At 41.6% G+C, this 27,425-nt stretch overlaps 2 long non-coding RNA genes across 6 annotated transcripts in view; one reads left to right on the plus strand and one right to left on the minus strand.

The window, feature by feature from the left end:
- NEPRO-AS1 (NEPRO antisense RNA 1) overlaps positions 1 to 27,425 on the plus strand; it is a 164,860-nt gene that overhangs the window by 121,227 nt on the left and 16,208 nt on the right. For 2 of the 5 annotated variants that reach the window (NR_186661.1, NR_186663.1), the window contains one exon: positions 21,190 to 21,275. The exons of 1 other annotated variant lie outside the window; for it this stretch is intronic. This is a non-coding gene — a long non-coding RNA (NEPRO antisense RNA 1). Of the gene's footprint in view, positions 1 to 3,109; positions 3,700 to 21,189; positions 21,276 to 27,425 lie in introns of those variants that run through there. 2 more of the 5 variants (NR_186660.1, NR_186659.1) reach the window with 1 other exon arrangement.
- Positions 1,606 to 26,987, minus strand: LINC02044 (long intergenic non-protein coding RNA 2044). Its single transcript, NR_110823.1, has 4 exons — positions 26,857 to 26,987; positions 24,383 to 24,462; positions 12,528 to 12,744; positions 1,606 to 3,591 (listed from the first exon to the last, which is right to left on the minus strand). It is a non-coding gene; the product is annotated as a long intergenic non-protein coding RNA 2044 (long non-coding RNA).

Here is a 27,425-nt window from a genome sequence, read left to right on the forward strand (position 1 = left end):
TTGCAGTGAGCTGAGATCGTGCCACTGCACTCCAGCCTGGGTGACAGAGTGAGACTCCAGCAAAAAAAAAAAAAAGAATAGGGGTTGTATTTAGTAGAGAGCCTAGCATAGATCCAGGTACATCATGGGAGATCAATAAGTAGCTTTTCACTGATCAAATGTAAACACATTACTGGAGAAGCTACTTCATTGCTCGGAAACTTCCTGAAACATATGTAGTGTTAGGTATACAATATCCTTGCCCATGCTGAGGTGTTAAAAAAAAGTTCTTCTCAAAGCCAAATGAATCATACTCCTGGTTTCTTCCTGTCTCAGTCATCTTCCCCTTTCACTATTCAGCAGATTAACCTCCGCACAGGGCCTCTGGCCACACACTCTCAGTCTCCTCTGGCCTCCTGCACCATCAGTTCCCTCCAGTCCTCCAGACTCATCAGCTGCCATGATGCTGCCTCTGAGATTTTCCTGCTCACCTACTGCTGAACCACACACCCAACCCTCCTTTGCTACAGTGGTCAGCCAACAACATAGCCAAGAAATTATGGAAGTTTTGTAGAAATTAAACTAAGGCGATGAACAACAGTGGTTAAAAGTAGAAATAAAATTATGTCATTTTGGCAGTCTGCAGACTATCTACTAGAATCCTTCTTCCCCTTCTTCCTGGGCACAGAGCACAGCTATATTTTCTGGTCTTCCTTACAGTGAAGTAAAGCCATGTAACTAAATAACTAAATTCTTTCCAAAGATGTAAGTGGAAGTGTTGTATACCTTCAACAGGTCTGGGTCAATTATTCTGTGTTCTTCCACACTCTTTATGTGTGCTGGGTGACGTGGCCTTAAGGGTCTGTAGAGCCACAGGGTCTAAGAAGCCATGGTCCCTTAACTACCTTGTGAAAGAGAGCTGCGCTTCAGCCAGGAGCACCTCCCTTGAGCAATTATATGAGAAACAAACTTCTATTGTGTTCAAACCATTATACATTTGGCATGTATTTATGACAGCAATTCAGCCTACCCTAACTAGTACATCCATTAAGTGAATGAACAAAGGTACAACTGTTACTCCACCCTTACTTGACTCCAGAGAAGCATATAATTGAGAAGGAAAGAATATTTGCCTAATAACAAAAGGGAAGAAAGCCATAGGTGAATGTGAGTTATATTTGCATAAAATAAGATTGAGAAACTTTGTGCAATGAAGGTTCTTACAGCAAAGACCTGGGTTTTTCATTGTGAACTGTCTCATTGGAACTATTAATTATCCAATGGATAAAACAGAATTCCTTGGGGACATGTTCCTTGTTGATTTGTGGGCCTTAAACATATTAGGTACTCAATAAATACTTGTTAACTAAAATTAAATCAAGGGGGTAAGAATCCCAACTCCAGCCTATTTCTAGAAATGGAGCATAGCCAATTCTTTTTCTTTTTCTTTTTCTTTTTCTTTTTTTGACGGAGTTTCGCTCTGTCACCCAGGCTGGAGTGCAGTGGCATGATCTCGGCTCACTGCATTCTCTGCCTCTGGGTTTAAGCAATTCTCTGCCTAAGCGCCCTGAGTAGCTGGGATTACAGGTGCCCACCACCACACCCGTCTAATTTTTTTTTTTTTTTGTATTGTTAGTAGAGACGGGGTTTCACCATCTTGGCCAGGCTGATCTTGAACTCCTGACCTCGTGATCCACCCACCTCGGCCTCTCGAAGTGCTGTGATTACAGGCGTAAGCCACTGAGCCCAGCCGACCAATTCTTATTAACAAAGTGTAATGTCCAAAGAAGGGAATCAGAGGTTGTAAGATCTTAAAGCCATGTCAGATGAGAAACATTGAGGAAATGTAAATGTCTAACCTAGAGAGAGAGAGTGTGTGTGTGTGTGTGAGGGGATAGAGAGGGAGGGAGAGAGGTACTGAGAACCACACTGTTGTTTAATAATTTGAAGAGCTGTCATGGGGAAGAGATGTATTCCACATTCCTTAAAAGTAAAACTGTAACTAAACTTCTGTTTTATACAAAAAGAGATTCCCAACAAGTACAGACAATGGAACAGGCTGCCTTGGAAAGGACTAAACTTCTCCTTACAGGAAGTACTTCATCCAGGGCTGGCTGCTGCCAGTTGGGAACATTATAGAAGGTTATCCTGCACTGAGTATGAAATTAAGAGAGTGAAATTCCCTTTGGAAGGTTCCAAGTAGTCCCAAGAGGCTTGTACTAATAAGGCATTCGGGAGACACTCGGTTCCAGGATCACCTGTGATTTCCAATAGTCTCTGTGCCAATTCCCAGTTGTTCCCACAAGGATGACTCTTTAGCTGGTTGCAAGAGGGAGGCACAAAGAAGTCTGGGAGAAAGGAAGCCATGTGCCAAGTCACAAAATCTGTTATCTGGTATTTTATCCAAAGTCTAGCTTGTGGGGAGAGGAGAGCAGCTGATAGAGATAGACAAAGCCCTTAGCCCCCCAACATCTCCCTTACTAAATTACATCAGTTTAATGGAGCTTTTAGTCTAGAATACCTAATAGAAAGATAAAGCCAATTTGATTACCTACATCTTATTCGTTTTAAGAGATCAGTACCTGGTGGGAAGAGGAAAAGCTAACTTCACCATATAGTCTTTATGAAGATCAAGCCCAGTTAGACACCAAGGAAGGAATGCCCGAAGTTGGCAGTGTGAGGGCTGGAGGTATCTGGGGTGCTGGGGAACTGAAGGAGTGGGAGGAACAGTGGTGAAGAGTTTTGCCTACTCTGCAGTTTAGCCTGAGGCCTTGGTGCATCTCTGAGAACTTTCTCTGGGCTGAAGACATTGCTTGCCAACACCCAAACTGGGATGTCAGGACTTGTTTATAAACTGCAAACAGCTCACCACAGCTTAGCCCAGTCTTCCAGTCTAGGCCAGTCTGGTCTCCTCAGGTTCAAGCCCAGGTCTCCTTATCCCTCTCTCTGGGAGAAAGAAGCAGAGAAGGAAAAGAAGGATGCTCTCTGTGCTAAATATCTTCCCATGAAGAAAGAGTGTATCAGTTGTCTATTCTCATGTGAGTCCAGTCACCGCCTCCACCCAACCCCAACAATTTATTCCTTCTGTGTTCAATATGAGTCCAATATGACTCTACAATTTCTTTTTCAGGGACTTCTGGAATCCATCTGCAAGGAATGCCAGCTGGTGGCTCTTAAATACCCAGAAACCTAACAAAGAGTACTGGACAATGTGGAAACTTAAGAAGTGGGACAACATAGGCACTACCAGCTATCGGGGTGTAAGAGAGGGGAGTTATGGGTGAATTGCATTCAGTGAAGGCTTCACAGAGGAAGAGAAGGTGAACCTGAGTCTTAAGATTTAGTTATACAAAGAGAAAGCAAGGGAATTTCAGGTTGGAAGGACTATGCAGGGAAAAGGGAAAATAAAAGAGTCTGTTGAGAGCCAATGTATGAGAGTCTGACTGGATGAATTCACTGGAGAAATTGAATACTCTGTACAACAACCTCTCACCACCTCCAGCCTCCAAGTGCCATGCCAGCTCCATCCATGGTTGTTTATGAGTCTCTAGACAGGGATGACCATTCCATGGTTGAAGCCGGTAGATCAGAGAAGGCACACGTAATGTTTACCTGCAAAGAATATGGCAGAACCTCTCATGAAGTTTTAAGATCAAATGGAGAAAAGTTGCCTGCAGAAAAGCATGATTAAATAAATTTATAGCTGGTTTAATCACTTGACCAAATTTGTACTCATCTCTTGCCCCCAGCTCTACCATTGTTCATGTTTTCCCCATCTCTGTGATGGGTTATTCATCCAGTGGAAATAAATGGTAGTGGGTTCTTAAAAATAAGTCATCACGCACAGCTTAGATTGTTCCTGGAGATTCCCAGGATATGTATTGTCTCATGAGGTACTTAAAGGATTTTTTAGGTCCTTTCTCCAGGACCTAAATGTAGGACATTTAAAAGCCATGGTTCTAAATGTTTCACATAGTACTTGGGACGTTTATATTTTCCAGTTCTAGAGTAGTGACACATTCTATTCAGATTGACATAAGGGTATCCTAGGTCATTTAAATAATGAATGTTTCCATTTAAACCAACTCATGAGGTGAGAATAAGAAATTCAGGCTGGGCACAGTGGCTCACGCCTGTAATCCCAACACTTTAGGAGGCTGAGCAGGGAGGACTGCTTAAGCCCAGGAATTTGAGACCAGCCTGGGCAACCATAGTGAGACTTTGTCTCTACCAATAAATTTTTAAAAATTATTCAGGTATGGTACTGCCCAACTGTAATCCCAGTTACCCAGGAGGACAAGGCAGGAGGATTACTCAAGCCCAGGAGTTTGAGGCTGCAGTGAGCTATGACCATGCCACTGCCCTCCAGCCTGGGTGACAGAGCAAAACTCTGTCTCAAGAAATAATAATAATAATAATAATAATAATAATAATAATAAGTTCAAATGCCAATGCCACACATAATGTTTCTGCCATTGAAAAATATGACTTATGCTGTGTTTTACCCACCAACACACTCTGACTCACACAATTAAAGTGGTTGACCTACATCTGCAAGTCCATGTAAAATATATGCAAATGAGAAGACAACAGTGAAAAGAGAGAAAGGAGACAATTGATCATAGAACAGAAGGAAGGGTGGGAAATGTCTTTTATAATTCATCAAGACACAAATAGAGATATCTCGTTTTTTTTTAAGGCACCAGATCTACTGAGAAATAAATAAAAATTGAAAATATATATATAATCTAAAGGACAGCCTGGATATGTGGAACATCACGACTCAAAAAGCACCAAACCAGCAGAGTCCAGCAAACAAATTGTAAAATGCCAAAGCATCCTTTCTTTGGCATCACTTTGAAAGGTTGAGAATAGCTTTCCTCGCAGGTCTTGAAGAATAAGGACCCAGCAGCAGTCTGACCTGGAAGTTACAGTAGGGAGATGTAAGAACTCTTGAAATCCCTTCTCTCCCCAGCATCATGAGAGTTCTGACTGAGTTTATGAGATCCATTTTTACAAATCACAGGAGCGTATGAACTGTGGATGATTAAGGAGAGTCTTCATTTCTGAAAGACAGATGCTTCTGTGGGCAAGATGAGGCTGCCCCAGAGCTGCAACAGTTTGAGCAGAAATTTCTTCCAAAGGGGAAAACATTTCCACTTTTTGTTTCAACATTTCACTTTTTTTTCCGAAGTTCTTAAAACAGTAGTAATTATTGTTTTTCTAAGGGAATGTTGCTATTTTTGTCAGCATGGGCTTTGAACTGCTTTGACTTTTTCTCTAATCTTGCTGGCACAGTAAAGTTGTTGCTGCGTTAATGTAAAGGGCGAACATTTTGAATAAGATAGAAAAGCACAAAAGAAGACCTCCTTGAGATACTACCGAGACTAGAGGTTGTCTTTGTTAGTCAGATGTTGACAGTGCTCAGGAGCCACTCCAGCACTTAGGGGGGTGTCATATGGTAGCAAGACAGGTACTTGTTTCCAATCGAAAGATAGGAGTGACAGCATGTGATCAGATAAGAGGAAGGGACTCAGTTGAAAGGAGAGGGCTTCCATCACACTGGTTATTGTTGCCCCCTCTTGGAGCTTTGCCTGAGTTCAGGGGGCCTGTGGACCTTTCTTAATTTATTATGTACCAGTGGACTGGGTAATCAGGAGAAAGCTGTCCATTAATCCAACCATAAGTCCAAATATAGTCAACATTTTCACACATTGGCCAACCTCAATGGACAATGAAGTCTACAGGCAGCACTTAACATTTAAAAAGGGACGTTGAAAAGCACTTAACATTTAATCAGATCAAATGATTAAAATGGCTTGAAAATCCCCTAAATTGTCCTTAAAGAACATTATTATACCATTGTGTGAGACCAAAATATGCCACCCCAAAATATGAAGGATTGTTGAGCTGATGGTAATTAAGAAGAAACAGATGCAGAAAAGCTCTCTGCCCTTCCTCTATTTGCCTAAAAGCAGGACATAGATTTACAAAGACAATAGGTATCCTGCACCCTATCACCCCACTTCTACCAGAGAGAACAAAGGTTAACCACTAAAGACAGCTTGGAACTCTTATAAACCTGGAGATGGTTCCAGAGCAATCTACACAAACAAGCTTTACTAACCAGCCTTTAATTTGCCTTCCTCCAAGTTGCCTTCCCTAGAGACTTAAAGTCTTTTTCCTTTGTCTTGCCACTTCTTTAAAAATTTACTGTTCTTTGAGAACTATTCCCTGGGTATCTCCCATGTATATATAAAATAATGCATATTAATAAACTTCTGTTTGTTTTTCTCTTGTTAATCTGTCTTATGTTACAGGGGTCTAGATAGGGTTCCCATCTAAGAACTTCTGAAAGTTGAAGAAAAAATTACTTTTCTTTCCCTACACCATTTTTCAACAAAAGCAGCGTAACTTGTTGTGTGTTTTCCTTCAGTTGGGTAGGAGATAAAGTAGTGAACTTTTATGTAAAGGACAACTTTTTATTTAAAAAAATTCTTGTTTCCTTAAACATAAATTCACCGATATTATGAGATCTATCTGAGAACCAAGACCAAAGAAACCAAGGGAAGAGTAGATTCACATGTCTCAGCTCAGCTCACCTAACATTCTTGCTCATTGTGTTAAAAGATGGGCAAATCATCCCTACTCTTTAAATGGTGTTCTCTCACTCTCTCTTGCTCTCTCTTGCTTTATCTGGCCTAACATATCATTGAATTCATATCAATTAAACACAGAACTTTACTCCACAATTCATGAACATATCCTCTCCAACTCACCAAGAGCCTAAGAGAAAGCTAGAAATAAAAAGACACAGAGCTTAAGCCTCAGGACAAATTGGCCTCTGGAAAGTGCCTTTGCATTTGGCTGCTGTCTTTCTAAATGTGTGCCCCAGATTCCAGCCCTATATTATCACACTTTTCCCATTTATGATGCCTCCTCCACCTTTAAGTGTTCTTTACACAATTCTTGGATGAGACTTTTTGGTCCAAAGACCTTGAGAAAGAAGGAAATACAGATTTATGGGAAAGGGACCTGGAAAATCTCAAACAGACACATCTTTATTGCAACCGTCTGAGTCTGTGGGAGAGAGAACAGGGCCCAGAAGGATCAGCTCTGAATTTGCTCCAACTCTAGACTTCACTCCCTTCTTTCCAAGCTCCCCACTCAGGCCAATATTTTAATCTTTCAATCTCTCTCCCTCCCTCATCATCCCCTGTTTATTCACCTTTTCCATTCCCTCGTCTCATTTTCTCATTCTTTCTGATTGCCCCGCTCTCTCGCACTCATATCCCCTCGCGTATCATCTTTCTGTTGGAGCCTGCACTCATGGCCTCCTTCCACGAGCAGCAGGTTTGAATCAGCTCCAGTTGAAAATGAAGGCAGGAGGTGGGGGTGGAGTGAGGCCAGGAGGGGAATAGCCACTTTCTGATGGCCAATGTACAGTAAGCACAGCCCTCCACCCTGCCTCCAGGCTGGTCCCTGCTGTCGCTGTCTCTCTGCCCGGACCCCCCACCACACACAGGTATGTACAAGAGAAAACCTAATAATCCCCTGCAAGGAAGAGGCCCCCATCCCCAATAAGGCAGCTGGTTTCCATTAGATGTTCCAAGCCCTATAAATATTCTCTTTTCTCACTTATCTCTTATTATTTTTCCTTTCCCTTTCTCATGTTCCCGCCTCTGGATTCCCTCCTGGGAGGAGGCCTAAATTAAAACGGGAAGGCTTGCCAAGCTTTGCATTAACCATCCTGTTATGCCCCAGGCCCCTGGCTGAGCACAGCCCAGAAAAGAGCTTCTTGTTTGTCCAGTTTGCTGCTCCCCACACGGAAGGCTGACATGCTCCCAGGAAGGAGGAAGGGTTGAGCTGAGCCTGAGCTGGAGGGTGTGGCCAGAACCATCTCACCTGCGTGCTGTGGGTTGTGTTCCTGGCTAAGCCTGTTGGGTCCTCTGTCAAGCTTGTCTTGTCCATAGCAGTGGATACTGTACAGTGTCTTGGGCACAGCTTTGGAGGGCAACACTCTGGGGTTCAGATCCCAGGTCCTTTGTTCACAGAGAATCTGACTTCAGGCAAGTTACACAACCTTTCTCATTTGTACAATTGTGCTGATAACACCCACCTCAAAGGACGGTTAAGAGGATGAAAATGAGGTAACTAATGGGAAAACATTTAGCTCAAGGTCTGCAGGTAGCAGATGTTGGTGCTCTTCTCTTGCCCCTCCCTGTAGGATTTACTGTTGGAAAACCTGCCCTCCTCCTCCACCAGCCTCCCACACCTTGCAAACAGTTAACTGAGCAATTACAGAATTTAATTAACTAGCAACTACAGACTCCGAATACCCAAGGGCCTGACTTGGGGAGCATACAAATGTTTACTTTTTGTTCTCTCTCCTCCAGCCTATTTTAAGATAAAGAAAGAGGCAGAGAAAGAGTGAATATAAAATCCCTAAATTAGAACAATGTTTACAATTTTTAGTACTTCTTATAAACTAGGCAGCAAGAAGCTATGTCATTGTTGAGCCAGTGACCCCAGAGCAAAAGTTCCTCCAGGGGTGGGGGAGAGGGAGGAACTTAAGCACCTCATCCTAAACTGAGGTAATTAAGAATACAGCTACTGGGGTCAGACTCTCTCTGGACCTGGACTCAAGCTCCAACTCTTCCTAGCTGCTGGGCTCAAACAAGTTACTGACCTCACTGTGCTTCTTTTCCTCATCGTAAATGAGGCTAACAACAGTACTGTCAGAGGCATTTGAACCAGAGAAACTCCATCTTGAAGAGGAGCTGGGTAAAATGAGGCTGAGACCTACTGGGCTGCATTCCCAGACAGTTAAGGCATTCCGTGTCACAGGATGAGATAGGAGGTCTGCACAAGATACAGGTCATAAAGATCTTGCTGATAAAACAGCTTGCAGTAAAGAAGCCTGCCAAAACCCACCAAAACCAAGATGGCGATGAGAGTGACCTCTGGTCGTCCTCACTGCTACGCTCCCACCAGAGCCATGACAGTTTACAAATGCCAAGGTGTAGTCAGGAAATTATGGGGAGGCATGAATAATCCACCCCTTGTTTAGCATATAATCAAGAAATAGCTATAAAAATGGGCAACCAGCAGCCTTCAGGTCTCCTCTGTCTATGGAGTAGCCATTCTTTTATTCCTTTACTTTCCTAATAAACTTGCTTTCACTTTACTGTATGTACTCGCCCCGAATTGTTTCTTCAGCGAGATCCAAGTACCCTCTTTTGGGGTCTGGATCAGGACCCCTTTCTGGTAACAGTACTACTGACTTTATAGGGTTGCCACAAAGACTGAATGAGCTAATATAGTTCACCAACTTTGAATAGTGCCTGGCAGAGTAAGTATGCAGCACATGTTAGTCATCCTTCCCATTCGGTCAATCAGTCCTAGTTTCGTATAGCCTTGCTCCTCCATCATGGCCATTCCCAAACTGGCCCATGTGCATGGACAATCATACAGCTGGGATTTGCTCCTCCCACCTCTGCATGCTCCTCGGACGAATTCTAGCCACTTTGGTGGCTCTGCGTAAATTCCAATCCTCACCGTGGAACAAACTCTGGAACCTCCTTAACTAACTGGCCTTCCCATGAGGGATGAACCTTTGGGACGCCATGCACTGTGCGTAGGAGGGATGTCTTTCCTGTGCCCTGGACACCCACAACCCATCATCCTCATGGCCTTCCTGAAACCAGAGCCTTCGTCTGGGAGTGCAGCCCATGACAAGCAACAGACATGACCAGCACAAACAGAGCCAAAAATCTTCAGACTGTTTCAGGGAAACTGCAGTGCTTGTCTGCCCTCTCTGCCTGTCTGTTGGGCTGAGAGTGAATGGAGGGTACTGTCCTCCCAACACAGAGGCAGGTATAGCACAGAATCCCAGGACCTTAAGTCCACAGAATTGAATCCCCTGTCCTCTGCACATGAGCCAATCTAGGCTAATGGCACTTCATAAAATGACTATTTTCTGTATTTCTTGTTAATTTCTTTGCCATATAAGTCAGCCTTGTCATACACTGTGGAGTCCAGCTAGACCTGGTTCTGTCACTTCCTCAGTGATGGACATTGGTCAAGTTTTTTAACCTCTCTGAACCTCCATTCATTAACCTATAAAATGGGGCTAACAAGCTTACAGCTTTAAAGATATATCTCATCTTCCTCAATAGACTTTAGCCATGGATGTTCACCTTTATGACTACTTATTCTGCCATTTTACTACAATTTGATTCCACTTCCTTTCATTCTATCCTTAGTGCAGTCAGAAAACAGCTGGTCACCATCATTCCTATATGTAACTACCTTCCAGAGACCTGGAAACAGTTAATAAATCATTCTTCAGCCTCTGAACTTTAGGCTAAATAATGTCAATTTCTTTAATCTTCATCCCAAGATCCTATCTGAAAATCTTGAGTAATTTTATCTTTGTCTTCTGGTCTCTCTAAAAATTAACACATCAGATTTCAGTGCCTCAACGTGAATATATTATTGTAACAAGGGCCTGGTAAAAATTTGGACTGTTTAATTCATCTAATTCATCCTCAGCTTGGGGTGCCCACTAGTATCCTCCCTATCTTTTATTTTTGCATATAAATGTTGGATCACTCAAACATGAAACAGAGAAGAAAGGCCAGTGTTTATTCCTTTAAGAAGGCAGTCGTGCAACTTGTTAAACTTTATCCCATTTGCTGGGGTAAGGGAGAAAAAAAAAGAGAGACAGGGAGCTACCAAAAGGGACTCTGAAGGAAATCATCAGAGTAAGGAGAAAAGCTCTTAAGAGATGTTTTTTGCCCTCTGAACTTTTCTTGCTCAATTCTGTTCTCCCATGGTGACAGTGCAGCTAATATAAGTCTGTGCTCCACTGGGCCCCTGCTGAGCCAGGCTGGGGTAGGACAGGAAATTACCACTCAGAAAATAAATGACCTGTCCCAGAGTCTTCTGTTAATGAGTCCAGGGCATAATAAATCAAGGTGACCCAGTCTCAAGAAACACAAGCCTGTTTAAAAACAAAAAAAAAAAAAAACCAAACCCCGAAGCCCCAGAGGTGAAGAGGAGGAGAAGGGAGAGAGGGGACCGCAGGGAGTCCTTATAAATCACACCCAAACGAAACTAGTGCAGATGTTTTCCAGTTTCAGGCCCACTCAAGAGGCAGAGAATAGACGCATGTGGAAGTGAATGGAAAGAGCTATCTGTTTTGAGGGAAGACAGGAGGCGGCCAGCTCAGTGGATGGGGCCCCTCCTCTCACTCAGTGTCTCAGGCATTTAGTGGCACCGTCTGCAAGCTCTTTTTTAATGTTCTTCAGGCTGTCACGGTCCACTCTGCTTTTTCACCTCTCTGGGGTCTCCCTGTAATCAGCATGGCAGGAGTGTCTGAAGAAGGGTGAATGCCTAAATCCTCTTGGTGGAGAGAACCAAGAGCCTCTTGTCAAACATGGGTCCCAGCTTTCTACAGTAGCAGGCCCCTGTAAAAAGAGAGGTGTGGGCAGGTAAATCATGGGAGGGTCTTCACTTATCAAGTATATTGGAAGCTCTCTGAGGGTGATATCTAACAAGACAATAGAAAACAAAAATGTCAGGCTGGAAATAAATATTCCATTACATGGTAGAGAAATAAGGGGCTGTAGATCTAGGGTGAGGTATAATATGAGACTCAGTTACTTGCAGAGGGCTTCACGGGGAACCAAAATATCCTAGTGAAATGGGTGTCACTGGCCGTGTTTTACAAATGAAGAAACTGAGGCAAAAAGACGGAATAACAATATAGGCATTTCTAATGCACTTTACAGTTTGTAAAGGGTTTTCACAAACATTATTTCATTTGGACACTGCCCGGATAGTAGGCTGTTCTTCTTTTGTTATAGATGAGGAAATCTGGGATAAGAAAGACTTTTAAAACTTACAGAGCGAGACTCCGTCTCAAAAACAAACAAACAAACAAACAAAAAACTTCTCCAGGTTACACAGCCAACATGTGCAGGAACTCGGGCCCACACCCAACTCTTAATTCTAAAACTGTTGTTTTTTTCTGTTCGACCACAGCTATTTAATATTTGCCAGGGTTCTATGATGGGCTATAGGCTGATAGAAAAGGATGCTGAAAAGGAGGATAAACTTTAGCAAAGGTCTATTATTGCCTAGTTTTTTGTTGTTGTGGTGGTGATTTGTTTGTTTGTTTGTTTGTTTTTTAGTCCTCTTTACCATGCTTTAATGTTTAATGTTTAGTAGCAGCTGGTAGGTAGATGAGTGGACAAGAGGAAACTGCAGCCAAAGATGTTTTTACCATTGTTCTATGATGTAAAAACCCATCATTCAGTTATTTCCTTCCTTCCTTATAAGCACGGCCTTCTCTGCTCATTCTCTTTTATTAGCCATCATTTTTAAAGAAGTAGCAACACAACACAGCTTTTTAAAAAATTATTTCCTATGCTGAATTCAACTCCATCATATACCACCACAAGTTAATATAACATATTATATTTTTCAAAATTCTTTCATGTCTGTTACCTTCTCTGAACCTCTTAATCAGGATTGTAATTTACCTTGAAGAAACTTAGACCAGGGTGACTTGCCCATGATCTCTCCACAAGTTAGAAAGTAGATCCGTCCTCCTTTCCTGGACTGCCTCCAAAACAACACAAGGAGGGAGACACGGTTTTCCATGTTGGTTTTCTTCATATTACCCTAGTTCTGCAGTAAGACAGATATCACCTTCTCCCACCAGGACTCTCCATGAACTATTTATGTCAGCTCTTCTTCCTTTTGAAATAAAATAATGAGCATTAGTCTCGAATCCAAATAGGAGGCCAAGCATTTGCCCATCCACACAATGTCCTCAACCACAATAGGAAGAGGCCACAGCAGGCTGCCTAAAATAAACCAGAATAAACCCATAGCTTTTAATTGCCCAGAACCTAGATCTGTAGAACAGCAGACACACCCATGAAAATTACTAATGTTCCAAGTATTTTAAGTCAAATAGTAGCCTTCTACCAAGCCAGACCATGGCTTTAGGTTTCCCTTCCTTGTTTTTTGTTTGTTTTTTGGTTTTCGGTTTTGGTTTTTACTTTGTTTTCCGTTTTGGTTCTGCTCTGTGAGTCCAAATCTTTCATATTCAGATGTTGACTCTCAGCTGGGTGCCCAGAAGCAAGACTCCCAGTATGTGAGCTTTCCAATGAATTCTGCCATGTCAGTCTTCTATTATGAAAGTCAGTCATTCATTCCACAAATGTTCTCAAATTCCTACTATGTACCAGTGACTGTGTTAAGTACTGAAGAAGATTGAAACTTATGTTTTATACTAGCCTTGCCATTAACTAGCAGAGAGACCTTAGGCAAGACCTTCCCTCTTTATGGACATTCCTGCCTCTGTAAAATGAAAGTATGGCTTGTTTGGTCTCCGGGTCCTTTCTGACCCTGCTGCTCTACAGTTCATGGGAATCTGTGTTGATGAAGTAGGCTTGGATACAGCACCTAAAAAGAAGAATGTCCTTTTGATATACTAGTGCAAATAACTGGCAAAGGAGGAGGTAGAAATGGAGATTATATTTTCCAAGGAAATCAGATTGCAGATTGTAAGTGTGGCTACTGAGTTTTTAAATTCCATTTTATAGGTCACCAAAAAATTCTCAAATACAAGTATGCATGTCAGCTCATGCATAATATTTTTCACTCTTTTGTTTTAACTAACATTGTTTTGTATATACATTCTGTGTATCAAAAAGTGCAGTCTCCTCTTTTTTTTTCTTCTATTTTTTTGAGACAGAGTCTCGCTCTATCACCCAGGCTGGAGTGCTGTGGTACAATCACTGCTCACTGCAGCATCAACTTTCTGGGCTCAAAGGATCCTCCCATCTCACCCTCCTGTTTAGCTGAGACTACAGGTATGTGCCACCACATTCGAGTAATTTTTTTTTTTTTTTGGAGACACAGAGTCTCACTATGTTGCCCAGGCCAGTCTTGAACTCCTGGGCTCAAGCCATCCTCCCACCTCGGCCTCCCAAAGTGCTGAGATTATAGGCAAGAGCCACAGCACCCAGCCTTTTATTTATTTATTTATTTATTTATTTTTGATAATAATAAAATAATTTTTTCACTAACTTATATAAGTTTGTTTATATTTTCATTTCTTTCATTATTATTGGGCTGATCTGTTTTCTATGTGTTGAGTAATTTTCTGTATTCCCCTGTTTGAAGAGTTTATTCATGTCTTTTGACCTCGTGTTTAGTAATGTTTGAAAAACATGTTAAGGTTTATGTAGACCAAATTCTTAAGCACTGCTGATATTAGGGATCTCCAAATATGAATACATTCATCATGAGGGTGGTGGGGAGTTTTGTCTTTGTTCATTGAAGTATTCGAAGCACTTAAAATAATGGCAGGTACACAGTAAAGGAGGTGCTCAATACATGATTATTAATATGTTACTACATTATCATTAATATTTATGAGATACTTACAACATGTTGGGACAAATATGAGCACTTCAAATTTGCATTGGATAATGAGAAGAAAATAAGGTCAAAACAGCAAGGAAAAAGAAGTTGTTTCTCACTTTAGAATTTTAAAAAATCTACACAAGGTGAAGAAGGCAAGGTAAGAAGCTGCTAAGGAGTCCTTTGAAGTAATGGCTGGACACTGCCAAAACAAGACACAGGTATTGGACTGTGCTGTGCATATGAATATGTCAGACTAACTGCAATATCCCAAGACGAATTTAATTCAAGAAACAAACATTTTCGGCCAGGTGCGGTGGCTCACGCCTGTAATCCCAGCACTTTGGGAGGCCGAGACGGGAGGATCCCGAGGTCAGGAGATGGAGACCATCCTGGCTAACATGGTGAAAATGCGTCTCTACTAAAAATACAAAAAAAAATTAGCCGGGCGTGGTGGCGGAAGCCTGCAGTCCAGCTACTCGAGGTTGAGGCAGAAGAATGGCAGGAACCTGGGAGGCGGAGCTTACTACTATATGCAGGGACTGAGCTAGCCACAATATACATATTAGTGTATACAACACAGTCCCCACCCTGGGCAACATGGCGAAACCCCAACTCCACAAAAAAATACAAAAATAAGCCAGGAATGGTGGGTGTCGCATGCCTGTAGTCCCAGCTACCTGTGGTCTGAGGCTGAGGGATCGCTTGAGCCCGGGAAGTCATGGAAGCAGTTAGCTAAGATCGCACCACTGCATTACTGCATTCCAGCCTGGGTAACAAAGTGAGACGCTGTTTCAAAACAAAAAGCAAATGCACAAACAAAAAACAGTCCCCATGTATCCATACGATGGAAAAGCATTCATCAAGGAAAAAGACTGAACTACTGATACATACGACAACATCGATAAACCTCAAAAACCGCATGCTAAGTGAAAAGTGAGATAGCAAAAAAATACATAGTGTATGATTCCACTTACATGAAATGTCCAGACAAATCTTTAGAAAAGAATCTACAAACTTACATGAAATGTTCAGACAAATTTATAGTAGATCAGTGGTTGCCCAGGGCTGGGAGTGGGAATGGGGTGACTGCAAATGAGTGTGAGGGATCTCTTCCAGCTGATGAATTATTTTAACACTAGATTGTGGTAATGGTTGCACAACTCTGTAAATTTACTGCAACACCATTGAATTGTACACTTAAAATGAGTGGATTCTATGGTGTGTAAATTATACCTCAATAAAACTGTTTAATTAAAAAAAAAAAGAGAGAGTGACAAACATGATCTGTGCACTCTCAAAGCAAAGCAAAGTCCCCAGAGCAGACAGACAAATAGAATACTATCTGTTAAGGGCTGCCACTGGGATGAGCCCAGGAGCCAACAGGAGCACTGGGACACCTAACCCAATCTAGGGGCTTAGGGGAAGTTTCCCAAACAAGATGGTATTCCAGGCAGAATAAATGGGAAGTGAGAGAGCAGGAAAGGCACCACAGTAAGTCAGTGACAATAGTATTCACGTCCTGGGAGGTGATGCTGAAGCCAATGGCCACCTTGATTTGAGTTTACCAGGTTTCAGAAGAAGTTAAACACTGAAAATACTTTGTATATTAATTATAACTACCATTTATGAAGCATCTTGCCATGAGTCAAGAACTTTACATTCAGTAACAACAATCCTGCAAGACAGGATTACAAATGAAGAAATTAAGGCAAAGAGAGGCTATGTATGAAATACATACTTAGTATGAAATAACAGAGCTGGCATTCAGACACAGGCCTGAGTCTAAAACTATGCTTTTCCAATCCCATTGTCTGCTTTTACCACCACATAGACACATAACTATTATGGGATATGAAATTAATTAATTAATGGCCTCTGCTGAGAAGAATGTAGGTTTTGCTGATGTACTCTAAAGAATTCGTAGAATTCATCTGCAAAGAGTTTTGCAAATGCAGTTTGACAGGGTCTCAGAACCATGGCCTTTGTAATTTATCTCTGTCCCTAGCACACTGCTCTGTAAACAGCAAGCAGGCATTTGAAATGTGCCATCCTTAGCTTAGGATGTGCGAGTAAAATTCAGTATTCTTGATTTGAGATAAATTAAAGGACATTTAACTTCTAACTCTTCTTCCTGAAGAGTTAGCAAATTCTGGAAGGACACAGGAATCCAGTCTAGCACAAAGGTCTAATAAAAAAATCCTCGTTAAATGCCTTTCAATAATCATTTTAAATGATCACAAAAAGTGCTTAAGATGATATGGTCAAAACAAACATTATTTCTTTAAAACTGTATTGTTTCTCTTTGAGATTTTTTGAGAATTGCTCCTTCCCCTCATCTTTGGCCCAAGTGGCCCAAGTGTATCTACCCTTTATGGGAAAATTGTGAGTCTGCTTGGGTGAGGCAAAGACACACATTCCTCTCTTGAAAGAACAGACTTGCATTCCTATGAGTAAAATAAATTAGGCCCAGTTTCTCTGTCCATTAATTATGTGGAATAAACAACCTTCTCCTGTTCAGAGAGAAGCACAGGAGACCAGCACAAATTTCCTCCACAGGCTCAGGGGAAAGATCACTTGATCATTCAGGAGAACTCCTGTGGTCTGGGAGGACTCAGAGAATTGGAACAGGCCCGGCTCTGCTGCCAGATGTTTCTAAGAAATCCAGTAATGAAGACAATCCCATGATATGATCCACAGAGGATTGCTGCTTTGCGGGGAGAGGGGGCTAGAATTGCAGAAGAGCAACAGAGTGAGAAGGAATTTGCATCCAGCTCTGACCCTGGGGAATATCCCAATCTTCAACCCTGAAGCAGCATATGGAGTCTAGGAAGCGTATGGGGCCAGGTACTTACATTACTTTAGAGTCTTTGAATATGCCAGGAACTTCAGGGGCTCAGGGGAGAGGATGTGGGGGCAGTAGGAATAAAGTAATCCATGGCCTCTGATGGTCTATAGCTAAATTGAATCTGCTGGGATTTGCAAGAGAATAGAATATTATCATCAAGAATCTAAAAGACAAGAGGAAAAATACGGCAAATGACAGAAAGAGTTGAAAATGTGTTTGTGGTTTTTGCCTTTACACACTTGGGACTGATACTGCTATTCATTATTTCATTATCCCCATCTCCTAAGACATCCTCAATTTTATTATAGGCTGTAGCAATACACCCAGTTAAAACATCCGCTTCCCAGATGCCTTTGCACAGTAGAGTGGTCACATGATCCACTTCTGGCCAATGAGAGGTAAGCAAAATTCGCTAAGACAGGATTTATTGTAGAAAACCCACAGGGCTTTGGCCTTTGCTCTTTGCCCTTAACTTCTCTTCCTGATTGGATTGTGGCCAGAATAGCCGCCATCTTTGGAGCATGAGAAGGGACACTGAATGCTAGTCTGGCAAGCCAAAATATGAAAGCAATCTAGATCCTTGATGGGTCCCAGCAAACACTGCACACCTCTGAACTGGTATCTCTACTTTTTATTACATGATACATATCTTGTTTAAGCTACTGTTGCTTGGTCTTTGTTGCATGTAGTTAAGCATAACCCTCTGATAGCAATCTGAATTCAGATTTAGCAATAATTTAACAATAATTACCTATACTGTGCCAGGCACTGTGCTAGATTTGGGAATGCAAAGATGAAGATATAACCCCCTACCCTCAAAAAGTTTACAATCAACTGAATGCAAGAAGATAAGCAACCCATTACAGTGCGGTTTTTGTTTAAAGTGTTATGGAAACAAAATAATTATGAATATTAACAAGGAAGAAAATACACTGGGGTAAATTCTATGGAATTTATCTCAGTACATCCTCACACCTTACGACACGCGCATATGTGGCAAATCCCATTAACCCACTGAATATTCACAATTCATATTACTGATATAATCTGCCAAATCCTAGAGCCGCAGTTATTTTATTCTCCTGTAAGTACCACTTTACGCTTGTTTATTTTCGCTGGTGGGGTCAGAGGACCTCCATGTTTCCTAAGTAAATTTCTCAAACCCTTGTCAATTCCTTATACACAGAGAAACCCCAAGAAATCCGTGGAAAAATAAACTCAATCTCCAAGAGTAGTAGTAACAAGGGACAGTCTGGTCTGAAGCACACCCTGAGTTGAATGCCAGAGTGCAGTAGCAGCATTTTAACCCAACAGTAGCACCTACTTCAACAACTCTTGTCTTTGCCTGTCTCCCTTGTTTTCTGTTACTCTCTCCCTCTGTGTCTGTCCTGCTTGCCCTGTTTATCTTCTGCCTCATCATCCGTCTCTAGTATCCTCGATGGTATCTAATGCTCCCATTTTCTCACACTCCGTCTCTTTCTCCCTTATTCAACCATGAATTGGGAATTTAAAATTTGTTAAAGCTTATTTGCTGCACGAATTCGTTGACATCTTTATTCAAGATTTTAGTTTTTGAGGTTGATGATTAGATTGATACTTCTCAAAGACAAAAATAAGTTGCCTATTTTTTTTGAAGTAATACATTGACCTGTTTAAAACTTAGAAAGTTTGAAAGAAAATAGGTAAAAATAGCTCCTTCACATCTGTCTCTCAGCCACTCTTTTGCTCAAGACAACTAACACTGCTAGTTTTTTGTGTATCCTTGCAGAGCTATTTTATATATACAAGTAAATGCATATCACTATTTCCCCACTTTGTCCTGCAAAAGATGGCATACTCTATGCACTATTTTGTACTTTGCTTTTTTTCACTTAATATATTTTTAAAATCTTTCTGTCAGTACATAAAAAGAATTCTCATTCTGTTTTAAGCTGAAAAATGTTTTCTTGTATAAATGTATCATAATTTAACTAGTCACCTATTGATGGACACTTAAGTTGTTGCCAGTCTTTTATTATTTAAAATAACACTGCAATGAATTTCATCATTCATGCATCATTTAACAGATGAGAGTGTATTTTAAGATAAATCCCTAGAAGAGAGCCAAATGCTTTGTTCATTTGTAATTATAATAAATTTTGCTATATTTTCTTTCTTAACATATACTATTTTACAGTCCCACTTACAGTATATGGGGGTGCCTATTTCCCTAAGCCTTCACCAACACAGTTTGTCAAGCTTTTTGACTTTGCCAATTTAATCGGTGAAAAATGGTTTGTCAATATATTTTTAATTAGTTTATTTTGTTGTGAATGAGACTGTTCATCTTTCACACATTTCATAGTTATTAGTATATTCTTTTCTGTTAAATCTTTATTAATATTTATTCTTTCTTCTATTGGGTTGGTAGGGCTCTTTAAATCGATATTTTTCAGTTTTTTATTTATTAGGAAAATTAATCATTTGTCTGTGATACAAGATGCCATGATTCACATTTTTTTCCCTAGTGTATCAGTGTATCATGTGTCTTTTACTCTGGATTTTTTTTTTTTTTTCTTTTTTAGAAACAAGGTCTTCTGTCATCCAGGCTGGAGTGCAGTGGCATAATCATAGCTCACTGCAGCCTCAAACTCCTGGGCTCAAGCAATTCTCCCTCCTTAGCCTCCCAGTAACTGGGACTACAGGCACATGACACCACATCTAGCTATTCTTTTTTCTTCTTTTCTTCTTTCTTTCTTATTTATTTATTTATTTTTTAGAGATAGTGTCTTCCTATGTTGGCCAGGCTAGTCTTGAACTCCTGGGCTCAAGCTATCCTCCTGCCTCAACCTCACAAACTGCTGAGATTACAGGCCACCAAGGATTTTTACCTTGCAGAGATGTTTCTTTTATATTTAGTCAAATTTATTCATCTTTTCATTCTGATTTCTAGGTTTTGTTTTATACTTAGAAAGACCTTCTGATAGGAGAGATGTTCTTTGATATCTTCTAATTATACATTATCTTGAATGTCAATCAACATTTGTTTTTCTTATATGATTGCAAGTTAGCAAATGATCAGGTATCAATGCTGATGTTGTGGGGAGAGGGAGGTGTGTGGCAGTAAGAATCTGGATTCAAATCCTTTTCCTTCCCAGTTGTGTCACCATGCAAGAGCACTTGGCCTTATTCTGCTATACACCCCAGCTATTTGTCTGCAGTAGGCAAATGAACATGCCCAAAGTGCCACAGGTCAGGTGTATGTGAAACGAGAATGCTAAAATGCTTTAATGACATGTGTGCATGAATATTTTAATTTTTTCACCTCTGCATAGCATAGCATTGTGTCTTCTGCTAGACAGCTAGGTGCTGCCTGTCTCCATCATGTCATTGTTATTGTTTGCCCTCATAGGTACTAATTATGACATGGGAGATATAGCAAAATTCATTATAGCTTTTAAAAAAATCTCCCAGTGTAGTGCAGTGAGAAAGGGGAGGGAGAGTCACTCAGTCAACATGTATACTCCTTGACTGAGCAGTGTTTGAGTGGGCACCAAGCTTAGACATGTGTGTAGGGAGGCAATTATAACTAGTTACAGCCATCCTGCCTCTTCTGTCCTCCTCTCTTCCCCAGCCTTAGCCCCCCAGCCTCATGGGGCCCAGAGTCCTCCTTCAGATGAGGCCAGTGTCCCAGGCAACTACCTGACGTGGGAAAAGCTGCCGTCCTAGAGATCAGAAAGAACCCACCAGTCAGGAACAGCAATTCTGATGATGTCAGCTTCTAAGTTTTCAGAAGCGACAGCCTCTGGTGTTCTTACAGCATCAGAAGAGCAGAAAAGCTGGCCACTTATGAACCCACACATTGTTACAGAGCATCTCGGCTTTCTGCCAAGGAGCACCACTCAGGCTTTAAAGATTTGTCCTTTGATTTTACTTTTTAGGGCATCTTGAGACAATGTTCTGCCTACACAAAATTCTAAACTGAGAGGAGTGGCTCAGAAGCTCTACTAACATGGAATCACATGTGGTAAGCCACTCTAAGGATATTATCCTCAATCATTAGATCTCTCTGGGCTTAGGTTCTAGGCAGGTGGATGGTGGAGATATGGGAATATGTGGTAGGTCACTCTAAGGATATTATCCTCAATCATTAGATCTCTCAGGGCTTAGGCTCTACGCAGGTGGATGGTGGAGATACGAGAGGTCCGGAAGAATAGACTGAGGGGTAGCCACAGAGATCAGAATAAATTTGAGTGCCAGGAGGACAGATCACGTCAAGTCATGGACTGTATCACGGACATAGAATCTTGATGTAGAGTTAGAAATGGGGGCTGAAGGATAGAGGAAGGTTTTGGAAGTTGGGAGACTCAGGAAAGCTGAGCAGGAGGCTGTGTCTGAATGGGTAACTTATATCTAGGGGAAATTGTACAGATAGATCCCTCTGATGTCCTCTGAGTTAAGATTCAGATGGTTTGAAGACAGTTTCTACCTGAAACCATGGTGGCAACTTGAGGCTTGAGCGCAAGAAGAGACCAAGGGCCATACGAGAAATGGCTTATTTGCTCCCACTTCATCTGGCCACCTTTCTTTAGCAGGACATCCCTACTCTAAGTTTTAGACTGAAAGGTAAAGTTAATCAGCCAGCAGGAAAGGAAAGAATGGCCATTCATTCGTTTAACCACTGTTCACTGAACCTTATGTGCCAGATACTGTTAAGGTGCCAGGGGTATAGCAGTGAACAAGACAAAGTCCTTGCTCTCAGAGTATCCATATTCTAGTGTGAGAGACAGATGATAAACAAGATGTATTACATTTATAATAAGATGATAAACAAGATATATATGTGTGTAACAGTGGCAATCATTGCTAATCAAGCCAGGGAAGAGGCTAGCTAGATAATTAAATGATGGAGGGAGGATGCTATTTTAGATAGGGTGGTCTAAGAATGACTTGGTGGTAATGATGTGACATTTGAGCAGAACTGGAATGAAGTGAGGGAGTGAGTTGTGCAAACATTGAGGGGAAGCGCTTCCAAGGCTAAGATAACAATAATGCCAGAGGCAGGAGTGTGCTGGGTGTGTGAGGTGCCACAGGGAGACCCCTGTGGCTGGAAATAGTGAGTGAGGGTGGCATCATAGGAGATAAGGTCACAGAGGTTGGGGCAAGCAGATGCACGATGTAGGTCACATAGGGTCTTGCAGAACGTAGTAAGGATTTAGGAATTTATTCTGAGATGAGAGGCCACTGGAAGATCACACGCTCATCAGATTATTAGAGGGCCTGGAAGCCACTCTAATGCCTTGTGTGATTTTCCAGTGCTGGACTGACCTCCTAACCTGTGAACAGACTGTGCCCCCCACGCTCCCAATTACAGGGAAAACAGTTGTGCCCTTTCAACCACCAACTGTGCAGTTCTGGGCAAAAGACATAAACAAACGCTGCAAATCTCAGGCCACTTGAGCAAAGCCTTCCTCATCTCTATGCTGGTGGCTACAACTGTGACCTTGTAGGTAGGGGCTGTGTTCGCCCCTACTTGAGTTGTACCATATGAACCAGTAAGTGGCTGCTGATAGAACATTCAGGAAACTGCTTCTATTTCCTCATCTCTGAATTCTTCCTCTCAACATCTCATAGACCAGGCCTCTGCTTAACAGAACCTAAAAGGAGACCTGCTATGACCATTTTCTTCCACCTGGGACAAACTAACGGCAGATCTTCCCAAGTTTCTTCCTCACATAGGAAGTGAGACATCCCCCCCAACTCTCCATACGGTTAAAGAACAAGATTTGTCTAAAGCATTCATAGGTTCAGTCTGGAAAACTTCTCATAAGATTCAAATGCACTAGCAGACATGCCCACAGGAGGAACCCAGACCCCAGAAGCTGATTTATTTCACAGAAATCACCTTGAAGCCTTAAAAAATACAGGCAGTTCTGTTGTTTGTATGTTTTGTTTTTATCATAAATTTCTTAAACACACACACACCAAAGTCATAGTGTTGTTAAAGACTATTTAATAACCAGAAAGTTGTTCAAATGAAATAGCCTAGGCGAGGCTGTGCAGAAACAAGAATGCTTTTACATTGTTGGTGGAAGTGTAAATTACTTCAACCACTGTGGAAGACAGTTTGGTGATTCCTCGAGGTTCTAGAACCAGAAATACCATTTGACCCAGCAATCCCATTACTGGGTATATACCCAAAGGATTATAAATCATTCTACTATAAAGACACAAGCACACGTATGTTTACTGCAGCACTATTTACAATAGCAAAGACTTGGAGCCAACCCAAATGCCCATCAATGATAGACTGGATAAAGAAAATGTGCCATATATACACCATGGAATACTATGCAGCCATAAAAAAGAATGAGATCATGTCCTTTGCAGGGATATGGATGAAGCAGAAGCCATCATTCTCAGCAAACTAACACAGGGACAGAAAACCAAACACCACATGTTCTCACTCATAAGTGGGAGTTGAACAATGAGAACACATGGACACAAGGAGGGGAACATCACACAACTGGGCCTGTAGAGGGGTGGGGGGCAAGGGGAGGAAGAGCATTAGGACAAATACCTAATGCATGCGGAGCTTAAAACCTAGATGATGGGTTGTTAGGTGCAGCAAACCACCAAGGCACATGTATACCTATGTAACAAACATGCACGTTCTGCACATGTATCCCAGAACTTAAAGTAAAAAAAAAAAAAAACAGCATGTTCATATGATCATGTGTGTGTGCGTGCTTGTGCGTGTGTTCTAAGCATAGGCAAATATGCATAGACTCATGAAAGTGATAAGAATATGAGTGATTTTAATTTCATCTTTTTAATATATATTTTCAAATTTAAAACATTTTTAAAAATTCTTACATTCCAAACAACTGGATATAATGTCAGAAACTTACAGTCTCAACCTCAGTCTTCCCATCAGCCACTCTACAGGGAAGGGCCAGTATGTGATTCCAACAAATCCCCTTTGAATTAGAGCACATGTATGTAGTAAACATTCATACATTGATCTCCTGAACCACTGACCGACGCCCCGCTTTTTTCAGGCACCTGCACATGGCTTAGAATCATTTACACACAGAAACACAGGATTGGAAAAGATTTCAGAAATGATCTTACCCAACTGCCAGCTTAATGCACAGCTCTCCACTGCATCCCTGACTGGGGCTCTTCTGTCCTCTGCTTCATCACTTCCCAGGCTGGAGACAACAGGGCAGTGAGACCCGTTACTGGTGGAGAATGGCCCCCATCTTGCAGAGAGGAAATATCTTACTCCCACCCACAGATCCTAGCCCCAGATCTATGGCATTTAAGATAAGCTTTAAGAACTCATCTCACAGGAAATAAAAGAAGAATTGGAGGGTTTTTTTTGTTTTTTGTTTTTTGGGTTTTTTTGGTCTTTTTTTGTTATTTTGTTTTGAAGACCTCTTTCAGTTTATTCTAGTTTCCTTTCCATGCTGTTTGGCCCACTCAGAGACTTGCCTTATTCTCTTTCTTTGTGTCTGAAGTTTCTTTCTCCCCTAGGCAAAGCACCATAAGCTAATTTGCTCCCACTTCATCTGGCCACCTTTCTTTAGCAGGTCATCCCTACTCTGATTTCCTACCCTATAGATAGCTGACTTTCTTTGTCTTTTCCCCTACTATTTCCATCGCTTTTTTTCCTTTCTTATTTAGAACTTCTTATTCTCATTCCCCTTCAGGGTCATATTAAAACAGTTGGAGACATTACAATATTATAACGACTCTCTGAATATGAATACAAATAAAAGCAGTATTTAATTATAAATCAAGTTTAGGATAGACCACATTTTTTTCAGATATTCACAATAATGATTATTTCAATCCTTTTTAAAAAATGTTTTTATTGTGGTAAAATACACAGAGAGTGAAATTTACCGTTTTAAGCTGTAAAATTCAGGGGCATTGAGTACATTCACAATGTGACAAAACCATCACTATCTAGTTCCAGAACTTTTTCATTGCTCCAAAGGGAAACCCCGTGCACATTAAGCAATCACTCCCCATTCCTCCCTCCCCCGACCCACTGGCAACAACTGAGCTGTGTACTGTCACTATGGGGATTTGCCATTTCTGAGTACTTCATATGAATAGAATCATACAATATGTGGCATTTTGTGTTTGGCCTCTTTCACTTAGAATAATGCTCTCAAGATTCATCTCTATCATTGCCTGTATTAGTACTTCATTCCTTTTTATGGCCAAATAATATTCTACTATATGTGTATGCCACATTTTGTTTATCCATTTATCAGTTGATGGTCATCTGAGTTTTTTTCATCTTTTGGCTATTACGAATAGTGCTACCATAAACATTTGTGTACAAGTTTTTGCTTGAACATTAATGTTATTTGTTGAGGTGTCAACTTTTCCTCCAAAACCAAAGCTTGCTTATTTGTTTCTTGCTGGGAGCCTGGGTAGGTAGTGCCACTGCTTTGCTATTGTCCTAGGCAATGTTTAGCCCGTCCACTGGTAACCTCAGTCTGTTTCCCTGTTTCTTTCACTCTCTGCTTGCCTGCACAAATTTGCATGCATATATGGGTTCTCCCCTACTTAAACAATTTGGAATTCATATTGGCAAGTGGATTTCCCCCCTCTTATAGAGGAGATTAAAAAAAATAAGTACAGTGAATGTGTCCAATTCAGAAAGGCCTTGGGCCTCAGTTCTCAGCTTCCCCTAAGAAGGCCTCTTTCCAGCTCGATTCCAGGAAGGCTGGCTCCAGGAGCTCAAGCCAGCAGAGGCCCTGCCTCGGGCCTCAGCTCATAAAGCCAAGGTGTGTCTGAGTCCCTTAACTCTGTCAGGCTTAGAACTTGAGCCTTCACTCACTGGCTGCTGTCAGAGTTCAGCGTTCCCTGCCAAGCCATCGGAAAGCTGGAGGCCAGAGAGAAAAGGCGAGAGGCATCAGATTTCTGCCTGCAGATGGGAATGGGACTGACACTCCCCACATAGGATTTCTCTGTGAGCAACCACAGGCATTATCAGCGTTCAGGATCACATCACAAAACACAGCCTGATCATCTTGCCTTCTCTTTTTCCTCCTCTCAGAGATACAGATGCATTGCTCCTTTTCCCTTTGCCTCCCGGCCTTTTCCTTTGTTTGCCCCTCTCCCCTTTCCTCCACAGCCCCGGCTTTCCCAGGTCTGTTTCTCTGTTGCTTTTTCCCCAAAGGCTCTCCTGTTTTCTCCTGTCCCTTTGATTCCTCCCCCTCCTTTCATCCTGCAAATCTTTCTCTGTCGACTCCCTGTCTCCTTGCCATTCTCGGTGTGCCTTTCGGATCTGTTTCCTTTGACACTGGTCCCAGGCCTGCTGCCAAGTTTCAGACCCATTAGTGAGGTGCCTTGCTGACTGAAACACAAATCAAGACTGATCCGGGTACAATTAGCAGCAGCTCACACCTCATCTGGAAAGCATTAGCCAGCACTGAGAGTGTAGGGAGGGAGGCACAGGGAAATATTGATGCCAAACAGAATAGATCTCCTACTTTTGGAGCGTGAAAGGATCCTGACCCAGTAGACATATAACTGAAAATAAGATACAAATGGATAATGCAAAGTTGAGAGGCATGTTAACTTACCTCGGCCACTCTTCAGCATCTACGCAAGCAACACAGGCTCCTTAACACACAATTCAGGTGTATAAATATCATCCAGGAAAAGGGGTGTCTGATTCATTTAATCCAGATATTCTAACACATGTGTGATCCGGGAGTCCTCTGCTGTCTTGCAAAATTCTATCTTGGTACTGTTTCTAAAAATTTAATGTACAAAAGAATCACCTGGCATTGAGCTAAAAATGCAGATTCTGATTGACTAGGACTGGAGAGGTGCCTGAGATTCTGCCTTTATATCAAGCTGATTGGTGAAGCACACTTTAAGGGTCTAGGAAAATTTAAGACATTTAACTTTGGTCAAGTACCCTGATCTTCTTCTTTGGAGCACTCACAATTATAAGGAAGGTTGAATGATATAATTAGCTGTTTGATGCCTATCTTCCCAACTCAGAGGCAAGCTGCCCAAAGGCAAGGACCAGGCCTGTCTGGCTCTCCTTTGTATCCTCAGTACTAGCCCAGTATGTTGCATATAGTAGGTGTTCAGTAAATATTTCACAAGTGAATTTTCACAAGTGAATGAACCAGCTCAATCC

Source organism: Homo sapiens, chromosome 3 (assembly GCF_000001405.40).
Source record: "Homo sapiens chromosome 3, GRCh38.p14 Primary Assembly".
Lineage (NCBI taxonomy): Eukaryota > Metazoa > Chordata > Mammalia > Primates > Hominidae > Homo > Homo sapiens.